At 48.3% G+C, this 11,335-nt stretch overlaps 1 long non-coding RNA gene across 2 annotated transcripts, besides 2 other annotated features; it reads right to left on the reverse strand.

The window, feature by feature from the left end:
• Window positions 1,737–1,786: an enhancer, noted in NCBI's record as "active region_9698". NCBI's record gives its function as "activates an Ori minimal core promoter by ATAC-STARR-seq in GM12878 lymphoblastoid cells {active_cell/tissue: GM12878}" and the evidence as "EXISTENCE:reporter gene assay evidence [ECO:0000049][PMID:35858748]".
• Window positions 1,952–9,026, reverse strand: LOC107984781 (uncharacterized). 2 transcript variants are annotated; one of them, XR_007064698.1, is made up of 2 exons: window positions 8,716–9,026; window positions 1,952–2,513 (listed from the first exon to the last, which is right to left on the reverse strand). It is a non-coding gene; the product is annotated as an uncharacterized LOC107984781 (long non-coding RNA). The 2 variants fall into 2 exon arrangements; XR_001751594.2 differs by having other exon boundaries at window positions 1,952–2,685.
• Window positions 8,944–9,113: an enhancer, noted in NCBI's record as "active region_9699". NCBI's record gives its function as "activates an Ori minimal core promoter by ATAC-STARR-seq in GM12878 lymphoblastoid cells {active_cell/tissue: GM12878}" and the evidence as "EXISTENCE:reporter gene assay evidence [ECO:0000049][PMID:35858748]".

An 11,335-nucleotide genomic window follows, 5' to 3' on the forward strand; every position in this document is an offset into this window, starting at 1 on the left:
GGGAACCAGTGGTTTTATGAGCCCATCATATTTACTATTATCCAATGAGTCATCGGCTGCGTGCTTTCATTTTGAGGCTGCAGGACGAATAGGCTCTCATCAGAGCCACTCTTAATCCATTATTTATGCCCGCTCTTTGTCCTCTCAATTGTACCTTTGCAGACAGGAGCTTCAGTCCACATCTACCAGCAGCATTTGCCAGACTAATGCACATCCTTAGTTCCAAAGTCTGTGGTGTTTAAAAATAGCAAACGAGGCAAACACTCTGATTATGAAATTTCTAGCTGATATTTCCCTTGCCTTTCATTAGGGAGAAAGCTAGCATTAAGTGAACCCACAAGTCCAACGGGTAGAAATAAGGAATACTGTGTTTTTGACTTCTGCTCAGATCCGTTTCCCAGGAAGCTTATGTGGGTCTTGGAACAACGGGGATCAACAATGTGAATATGTCTATTGTGCCTGCAGATCCCATTGCTAATGCCCGGGAAGGACAAGTAATTAGTTTATGAGTAAATTGTCCTCAAGTTTGCATTTCTAGTACAAGAACTAGTCACTAAGCTTTGAGAATTGACCTACGCATTTCATGCCATGGGAAAGAAAACATAAGGTTTGTGATTTAAAGTCACTCATTACTTTCTACAATGATGGATAAGCAGAGGACAATTCCCTTGGTAGCTAATTGTCCTACTGCTGCTTGTATCACTGCTCAGAAGGATGTGTTACCTGGGCTAGGCAGAAATCCAGCACCCTCATGGAGGCAACCCTGGAAACCCCTTGTGGGGTGCTCTATGCATGTCTGGGTGGGTATCGGGTGATGGATGGGACTGTGAGGGATGGGCAAAAACCAGGAAAGAATAACAGGGATAGAGCAGCAGATGGTGAAACAGAAGCACATGCTAGGCCCACTTGGATTCTCCCTGGAGTTTGAATCTGCAGCAGAGTGGCAAAAAGACAAAATGGTCGACACTCATTAGCCCTGGCAGTAGGAGCAGCAATGGCAACCCCTTAAGAACCTGTCCTTTCAGGCCAGGCGTGGTGCCTCACACCTGTAATCCCAGCAGTGTTTTTGTTTGTTTGTTTGTTTGTTTGTTTGAGATGGAGTCTTGCTCTGTCGCCCAGGCTGGAGTGCAGCGGAGCAATCTCAGCTCACTGCAAGCTCCGCTTCCTGGGTTCATGCCATTCTCCTACCTCAGCCTCCTGAGCACTTTGGGAGGCCGAGGCAAGCGGATCACTTGAGGCCAAGAGATTGAGACCAGCCTGGCCAACATGGCAAAGCTCCCCATCTCTACTAAAAATACAAAAATTAGCCAGGCATGGTGGCGTACACCTGTAATCCCAGCTACTCAGGAGGCTGAGGCATGAGAATTGCTTGAACCCGGGAGATGGAGGTTGCAGTGAGCTGAGATCACGCCACTGCATTTCAGCCTGAGTGACAGAGCGAGACTGTCTCAAAAAAAACAAAAAAACGAAAAAACAGTTCTTTTATCAATAGCTCCTGTTTCTGAGCCCCACACCCCACCCTGTTTGTGATCCCAATTCTAATTGCTCTGAGTTGGTTCTCTGCCCTCCATTCAGTTCCATGGGCTCTGCTACATGCTTCCAATAAACTCCTTAACGCCTACATTAGCCACAGGACTTCCTGTTGCTTACACTCAAAGCACTCTAGCAGATAAGAGCTGGAAAGTGAAAGCAAAACAGGAACATAACCCAAGATCAAAGGCCCAGTCGCCCAGAAGAAGGCTTGAATCAGAGAGGCAGGCACTGACCCAGGGCACAGGGTGCATGAAGCCGGGGGTGAGCGCCCAAAGGACAGGAGTGCATGCCTTGGAGCTCAGATGTCACCCTATCAGGCAGGTGACATTGTTGTTGACATCTTAGATCAGTGGAAGTCAACCGTGAGGCACCCCAACCTTGGTTCTTAATGGTGTCAGATACAATATGACAGGCCAGGTCTTAATCCGCCAAGTGTTTATTTTAATTTTGACCAATATGAGAGGTAATTTTGGAAGGTAAATAGGCATTTTTTTTTTTTTTTGGCCTAGGATGACTTGAATGTCACTGTAAGAAAGCAGGGCACTGGGTTAGAATTATATATTCATTCATTAAACAAACATTTATTGAGCTCCTCTTCTGTGCAAATATCTGCTCTGGGCGCTGGGGAGACCAAAGTGACTAAGTCATAGGCTCTGCTTCTGAGCATGAGGAGGGACGGCGGCCAGCACACAGCATGCCCCAGCAGTGCATGGTAAGGACCCAGAGACTGGAACACATGGAGTTCAGATGCAGAGAAACCTCTTTGAGCTGACAGGGTCAGGAAGGTGATGTGGGGCCAGCATTCAAGGTGCTCCTTGAGGGAAAGAGAAGGTTTCACTGACAGCAATTCCAGATGCAGAGGAGAAAAAGAAAAATGGCAAGTGGTCTGAATTGGCTGGCATGCCTCCAGGCCCAGGCAGGATGAGGAGGTAGGCTGACGTCAGATTGTGGAAGATCAGGCTGAGAAGTCTGCATTTTACCTGTAGTCAATGGAGAGCCAGTAACAATTTGGAGCTGGAGAGGGACATCATCAAAGCAGCAAACTGCAGAGAATCTTGTCAACAATCTGCTTAGCAGATTGGGGAGGGGAGAGTCTGAGCAAAGTTCAAGCTACTTGGAGGCTACTGCAATAGTCCAAGCAGGACCCTTCCCCTAAAGTGAACAACAGGAAGATGGAGATGAAAAACCCTGACGTGAGAGCTTGGCATTGAAAACTAGATGGGCATGGTAGGAGGGGGCAAGCCAGGGGGCCTCAGGGTTTAGACTAGAACGGTTTCTCAGTTCCATTCGAATAACACACATTTTCCTGGCACCTCCTATGTGCACAGCATGTGTTAGCAGGTGGTGAGATGGCAAGGAAAATACTGGAAGGCCCAGGTCCTTATAAAAGGCCAGGGCTTTTCTAAAATGTGCTCCATGCATCCACATCTCACCTTCATCATTAGTGAGTGGACACTGCACCTCTCAATTTCCCCACTGCCAGGTTACCTGAGTGGAGGCTTGGAGGCAAGAGAAGAGAATTGCAACCCAGAGGAAAAACTACAACTCTTGTTAGCAGTGGCTACTCCTTAGGCCTAGGGGTATAAACCCAACTCCCAGCCAAGGCCTTCATCTGGCTAGTTTATGCCCTGCCTTCTAGACTGCCTCTGACTCTTACCCCGGATTAACTTCACCCCAAAACAATTGACAAGGCCAGCCTCTATTTGTTTCAGAGCCACAGCTATACTCTGCAGAGTTTTAGCCCAGACAAAACACTCAGAAGAGTGCACTGTGCATTGTCCCAAATCCCTTCCACATGGCATCTCTCACAAGAGGCTGGCAGCACAGGCAAGGCAGAGCTGTGCCAAGCCAGGCCATGCCTCTCCATCACTTCCAGCACGAAGGGCCAAAGCCCAGCCCACACGCCACTCCTACTTTGGTGAGGTCTTCACCTCACATCTCCTGGGAACAAAAGTGCAGACAAGAACAGACACACACAGATACAGACACACAGACACACACACACACAGACATACACTGACACACACAGACACACACGGGCACACAACACACAGACACATGACACACACACACGGACATAGACACAGCCACATAGACACACACAAACACACTCACAGTCACATAAACACACACTCACAGACACACAGATACACAACACACACAGACACACACACGGACACACAGACACACACAGCCACATACACAGACACACACAGACACTCAGACACAAACACACAAACACACTCACACATGGAGACACACACTCACACACACATGCTCCATACATACACCCAAACACCATCAAACATGTCCCTAAGATAAATAATAACTTCTAGGTAGGGAACACACTTCCTCAAATTTAGAGGGGCATGGTTTTCTTTAACTCCATGGGACAGCAGCTCCACGCCAAGGGAGATACAGAAAAGAACACTTGATGCCAGCTGGAAGCACCCTGTGATCGCTGAGTGCTGGTGGCCCTGGCTTAAAGCGGCCCGCACAGTGCCCACTCTAGGAGGCAGATGGCTTAGTGTCTCTAAAATGATATTTCTTCCAGCTTAAAGTTTCCATTCAGTCCCCACTGGACACCTAGTGATAAACAGGTGAGGAAACTGTGGCTCAGAAAGCTTGAATAAATAGTAAAGGATCAAACACTAAATGCAGAGCTGAGATTCAAACTCAAATCTGCCTGTTCCCTCAGCCAGCGGGCATTGGCACCCCCATGTGAGGCACTGACCAGCACGGTGAGCTGTGGACACTGAAGCAGAGCTTGGGAGAGACAAACGGACCTTGGGGAGCTCAATCAGTAACGAGACAAAACAGGACAGGAGACGCTGTGTTTCCACCTTGTCCTGGGACTCAGAGTCTAAGTCTTTCAGATTCAATGTGTGGTCAACTCTGGACCTCGTAACAGGTGGCCCTCACTCCCTGGACCTTGTGTGATCTGGCCCGAATGGAATAAGCAACTTTATCCAGGCTTGAGTGCCAGCGACACCATGAGGACCTGCACCAGACACTTGCATTGGCTTTCTCATCTCAAACATCTTCCCCTCTGCTTTTTATCCGAGGAAAATTAGGGACCAAGACCTGGAGAGCTTAATTTCCTCTCCCTCCTCCAAAAAGAAAGGAGGGAGGGAAGGAAGGAGGGAAGGAGGGAGGGAGGGAGGGAGGGAGAAAGAGAGGAAGGGAGGGAGGGAGGAAAGAAGGAAGGAAGGAAGGGAGGGAGGGAGGGAGGGAGGGAGGGAAGGAAGGAAGGAAAACAGTCATTTTTGCTTTCCATTTTCTCTGATTAAGGTAAAGGTGAGGAAAAGTCTGTTAAAAGAAAGGCTGATCAGAAGGCTGGTTGGTTTGTTTCCAGGCTGTAAACTCACTGGGGCCAAAATGGACCAAGTACCTTGTCCAAGATCACACAACTAGTGGGACTGGAATCCTGCTTCCTGACACTCAGTTATTCCTGCCTCCCTTCCACTGCCTGTGTCTGTCATTACCTTGAAGACCACACACATGCACACACACACAGCCTTTCAGAATAAATTAAATAGGCTCTGGGGTGACTTGTCAGAGCATCAGTCACAGCATCACAGGTGGGGAGCTCTTGAGAGGTTGTTAGCAAACTAATGAATTATATAATGGCTGCTCAGTAATTCCCAGGGCTAAGGTAAGGTCCTGGAACACACACTTTCATTCGAAGAAGATTAAGTTAAAACCATACGTGTAATTCTCTTGACAAGCTCTGAGCACTGTCCTTTTTCCTGAGAACATTTGCACTCTGAAGAACCCATGGAGGTGGAAGGTCAAGGTTATTGAGGGAGGTAGATCTGAGGAAAGCACCTGCATCAGGTGACCAAAGGGCAGGAGCATCTCCAATTCAGCACCAAGCCCCCTGCAGGGGTCCCAGGCAGTCGACAGTAAGCTCTGAGGATCCGCTGTGTGCAGGGATCAGTCCTGGACACTAGGAAACAGTGAAAAATGTGGCACTGGGACTCAGTGGCACCTGCTTTGTTGGAAAGACACTGTCCTTATTTTGGAAAAATTCCCAGGGAAGAGAGCACTTCCCACCCTTGGGAAGCTCTCCAATTTGTTGAAGACATATGACCTTCTGAAGCTCCCGGTCTTGTGGAGAAGACACTGACTATGCCCTTGGAAAAGCCCAAACTGTCTGTCAGATGGAGAGAGGGGAGACAGACAGCACCTGCCCTTGGGGACCCTCCAGACTGATAGGATAGAGGATAGAGGTTGGGGCAGGGGCTGGCCCTTGACCTCATGGGACAATATCATCCCTGAAGTCCCCACTCCAGTATGGAGTTAGATCCCAGGAGGTGGTGCCCACACATGTGTACATCTGCCCTACAGCACCTTGCCCTGGCATCATTCCTTTTTTGAATGGCTATGAATAGTGATGATTTTCTTTGAACTTTGTAACCCACCTCAGAGCACACCTGTTGCCTACATGCCTCTGCCTGCACCTGGCACCTGATTCAGCCTAGCCCATGAAGACTTTGTGTGTGGGTCCACAGAAAAGCCAGTCTCTGTAGGGCAGGACACTGGGGCCTCATATCCAGGCCCGACACAACAATCCTCTTATCCCAGGCAAGTGGCCCTGGTAGCTGGCGAGTCCAGGAGAGGAGGGACCATGATCAGTTTCCCACAGGCAGCCATGGAGGTGGCATCCAGCCCTCTGCTCAGGAGCCATAGAGCAGATGGTGGGGAGACGCCAAGGGGACAAATGGAGTAGGCTTCTGCTTCTTCACACTTCTGTCTCTCGTGATGCCAGATTCCCAGACCCTACCAGCCACAGCACCAGCAGTGACTTGGGTACGAACCACAGGTTTCTGGATTTGTACCCCACCCAGCTCCCTTCCTGGGCTCTAGGTCCCAGGTCCCACCCTTCCTGAAGGCCAGGGCCCTGTTGCCACCACAATATGACAGAAATCTGTTTCTCCAGCTTACACTCTCCCCAGCCCCTCTGCTATCGTCCTCCCAGGCAGCTGTGCCTCTTTCCACCACCCTTGGACCAGCTGCTTCCCGGTGACTACGGCTTATTTCAAGGGCCCGTGTACTACTCCCCAGGCCACTTTCCTAGGAACTTAGGACAAGGGCCTCACACAAGGCTCAAAGTGCCCTTTGAAAAATGTACTCACTGACTGGTGAGAAACCTAAACTGGGCACAACCCAGGGTGTCAGGGAGTTGATTCTCTCCTACTTCTCAGGTCCCAGCCTTCAGGGGTCCCAGTCACTGCCTCCTGGCCCCCTGGACATATTCTAACTCCCCTCATTTGTTTGAAAGTCTCGGTTCCAGAGTAGAAATGGCTGCTCCTGTGCCCCAGCATTTCTGAAAAGTGATTTCCAGATTGTACCCCACATCTTGACTATACAACTTTTTTTACTTAATTAGGAATTTACTTTATTAAGAACTACTGCCTGGAAAAAAATCAATAAATAGTTTAATAAGCCAGACAATTTAGTCCAATCATCAGGAGTTAAAGTTTATTGGAGGATAAAGTCTGTACGAGTTGTTGAATAATCTAAACCTTGGCCTAGTTCTAAGTAAAAGTAGGTTTGTAGCAGGTGCAAACCTGAGCCCTCTCTCTGCTACCAAAACAGCACAGGAGGATCTTCCTGGGCAGCTTCTACAGAGAACACATGGCGTCCTGTTGCTCTTTTGCACCCAAATGCACGCTGACCACTGATTCTAACCAGGCTCTCCTACCACTGGGAGCAGGTTAAAAGATGTCTGGGATTTCAGAAAGGTGGAAGAAGGAAAAAAAAAAAAATGACTCAACTGGGATCCTGAGGAGCTGATTCCAAGCTGTTGCCTACTCTCATCACCTTCCAAGGAAGTCATCCAAACCCTCTGTTTCTTTAACCATAAAAAGCAGGAAATGATAACCATCTTGTGGATTATTCTAAGGAATGTGAAGAGACACAAAGGAGCTTAGCCAGAGATATTCACAATGAGCATGGCCATGTCTTCCTCCTCCAGCCAAAGTCTCCTGCAGTTACTGAAATCATGCATTTTGAAGGATGAGGAGGAAAAACAACAGAAGGAAGAAGAGGAGGGGAAGGAAGAGGAGGAGGAGAAGAAGAAGAGGAAGGTGAAGGGGAGGGGGAAGGGGAAGAAGAGGAAAGAGGAGGAGGAGGAGAAGAAGGAGGAGGAGGAGGAGAAAGAAAGAGAGAAAGAAAGGAAGGAAGGAAGGAAGGAAGGAAGGAAGGGAGGAAGGAAGGAAGGAAAGAAAAGAATCTGTCTATTGCCAGCACTGCAAAGAGGAAGGAAGCAGGGACAGGGGAGGTGCGGAGGGAACAAGGAGCAGGGAGGGAGAGGAAGTGGAGCTAAGCAGACCAGAAATATTGAGGAATTCCTGGAAGATAGAAAGCAGTAGGAACTGAGCTGACAGAGGAACAAAAACAGAGAAAAATCACAGCCCAAGACGTGAGGAGTTGCAGGAGAAACAAACAGGGATTCTCGAGTACAAATTGAAAAACGTGAATAGACGATGAAGAATCACCAAGCATTAGAAAAACCAGCAACGTAATCCCTGAGCTCACGCAAAGGATGAACACCCAAGGGAAGAGCATCAGCAGAGGAAACAGACAACGAAGTAAAAATAGTAATGAATATTCTCAGGAAGATTCACGATGATGATACACAAATAAAGAATCACAAGTTGCAATGCAAAGCCACGATTCTCAAACTTTAAAATATGCTTATAAGAATTAAAATCATAATGGACAGACTGCATAAAGGAATGAGCACAGTGAAGATCCAATTAGTGAGTTGGACGGTGGAGCTCAGGAAAGTCTCCTAGGACACAAATGGGAAGGCTCAAGAGAGTCTAGGGGTTGTAGGGCCGGGGGGGTGCCTGGCAGGAAGAGGGAGCTCCATCTTTGTTGCTTGAATCTGAAAGGCATTTGATGAGAGGCAGCCCGGTGTCATGGAAATGATTCTTCCATCATCACAGCAACACTATTCATGAGCGTATCAAGTTTTTTTGTGTGTGAATTATGCAAAAGTAGCTTCCAGCCTAGTCCAAGTCAAAAAAATTATACGTTCAGAATCAATGGAGTCTGAATTAGCTACATTTGAGTGCTCAGGGACCTCAAAGGACACACACATGCACACACACACACACAGACACACACATGCACACAGACACACGCACACACACAGAGCTAAACTGAGCTTACTGAGCAGAAGGGTCTCCTTCTAGGGATTATACAGCCCAATGCTCTTGTTGCAGAGAAGAGAAAACTGAAGCTCAGAGAGGCAGAGTTGGCCCCAGACTTCCTCTGACGCTCCAAGCCTCAGGCCATCCTTTCAGAAGGATCCTCGATGTCTCAGGTCCACCAAGCTGAGCACAGTCTTGACCTCTCTTTCCCATTGGCTGGGGGCAAGCCCAAGGACCCTGAGAGCAGCATCTGCAGCATCAGCTCTAGGGAGCAGAACTCCATCAGAGGAATCCAGTGTCCTCTTCAATTTGGGCCACAAAGAAGAAAGGAAGCCAGCTGCGGTCTTTTCTGCCGCATTCAGCTCCCTGCAGGGGCCCCACAGGCTTTGTCACGTGGCCTTCCGGATCCAGTGTGTCTTATTCTCACCCATTTACCCAACCACCCCATTTTTTCAGTAAGCACATCTTCCCTTCAGTTTTTAGTCCCCCTAGGGCACCATCTGAAGCCAGTTTCCTGTTCTCCCTGCCCCTTTATCCTGTGGGTTCTTCTAGAGGAAGGAAAGAATTCAACATTGATCAAGCCCCTCCCATGTACCAGACTCTGCGGGGCATTTGACACACTTGACCTCTTTTAATTCTCACAGCAATGGTGTGATGCAGGCATTCTTTCCCCCTTTTCCAGATGGGAACACTGAGTTCAGAGAAGTTAAGTAACTGAGGGAGGGCCACACAGCCAGCGGACGGGGAAGGCAGGAATAAATGCAGGCCTCTCTGATGCCTTGCTCCTCCTGCACCCAGGCCACCCTCCAGCGAACTTTAAGTCTCCTGAGACTTCTGGGAAAGGGCATTCTACAATAATTGGGGCAACAAAGCTTGGGAATGATATTAACTTCAGGTGGCAGGTAGGTCATGGCCAAATGGGGGCCTTGCCACAAGATTCAAAGCCACTCGATCAGGGAAGCTGCCTAGAGGAGGAAGATTCTGAGCTCATTCCTAGAGGGAGACAGGCAGAATTTGAGGAGCCAGGGAGAAGAAAAGAAGACCTTCCAGGCTTAGCAGGCAAGATTTTAAATTGCTTTAAAAAGTAAAAGACAGTAACTCCATCTGCCTTTAAAGGGGGCAGGGATGTGGAATAATTTATATCAGAGAAAGACTACATCGTGGCCCAGATGCCTTTCACTGGCGGAGTCTGGTGGGGGAGGGTGGCCGCACTGGAGAAACTGATCATTGTAAAGGGAAGATTGGCAGGTCAGGCCTCTGCTGGGTCCAGCCTGTGATTTTGATGTACAAAAATGGGTCCCAGCCCAAGTAGTAGATGTGGAGAGCTAAAAGCTGCTCTGCTAAAGACAGCGAAGGAAACCTGAGCTTCAGGAGGGCAGCCCACGGGAGAGAGGTAGAAGGGCCGAGAAAACAAAGAAAGGGAGAAATGTGAGGTCCAGGGAGAGTGAGGAGCTGGGAGATCCAGACGCCTGGGGGAAATTTTCCCAAGGAAGGTGTGGCCAGGATCTTTAGGGACCAATGAGTGACATTTAATTTGAAGTTCCCTCTGCCATGCCATAACACAAATATACACTCCATGATCCACCTGTCATCAGCAGAACATGTGACAGCGTAAAGCTGTGGTTGCTTTAGGGCCTCAGTGGTAGAGGGGATCAGGCTGTAAGTTTCCCGTTATTCATGAAATGGGGACGTGCAGCACTTTTATTAAATAGGAAAGGGTGACTCCATGACAGGAGAGCGTGGGGACAGCCAAGTGGCTGACATACAGGTTACAAAAGCAGGGATAATAGTGGAGACAATACGTATGAATGAGGTTGGCGGCTTTGATTCACAAGTAAAAGCCCCATCCTCATCCATCCACGTAGGCCATTTCCATCTCATTTTAGGTAGTAGGTCTGTGGCACTTGTCCTGGAGGCAATTAAAGTTGTTTCTTAATAGTAACCGAAGCTCTTACATTGCTGAGTACCAGCTATATGCTGGCACTGTTCTGAGCACTTCCCAAGTATTAAGTCAATTAATCCTCACCATCACCCAATCACGTAGGTTACCATGCTTACCCTCATTGTGCCAATGAAGAAACTGAGGCACAGAGAGGTTACCTGCCAAGGTCATACAGTAAGGGGCATAGGTGAGACTCCAGTGCGGGCGATCTAGCTCCAGAGTCTCAATCTGCATCTCTTCATTATATCATAGAATCTCCCTGCAGAACAGCTCAGCCTCTGCCTTGCTTCATGAGACTGGACAGAAGGACTAGCTGCTTAGAGAACAATAGGAAACCTACAGACCCTCTTGATTCCATAAAAAGTTACCCTTGTTCTTGGTTAATCCAAAGAATAAAATCAGGATCGATGAGTGGGAGAAATGAGAAAATCGATTCCAGCTCTGCAGAAGACTTTGCTAACATGTTGAGTGACCCACACAAATGCATGGTCTCAGTAGGTAGTGAGCTCCCTGTCATCAGAGTGGTGCAAGTAGATACTTTCCAATGACTTGCACACTCAGCTAAGGGGTCTTTTAAGTTTCTCTCTAATTTGAGATTCTATGACTCCAGGAAATTTTCCTGATCTAGAAGAAACTACTTAAAAGAGCGACACTGGGGATCACAGTTTCCGTGGGCTTCAAGTTACCGAAGGTCTGT

Source organism: Homo sapiens, chromosome 15 (genome assembly GCF_000001405.40).
Source record: "Homo sapiens chromosome 15, GRCh38.p14 Primary Assembly".
Classification (NCBI taxonomy): domain Eukaryota; kingdom Metazoa; phylum Chordata; class Mammalia; order Primates; family Hominidae; genus Homo; species Homo sapiens.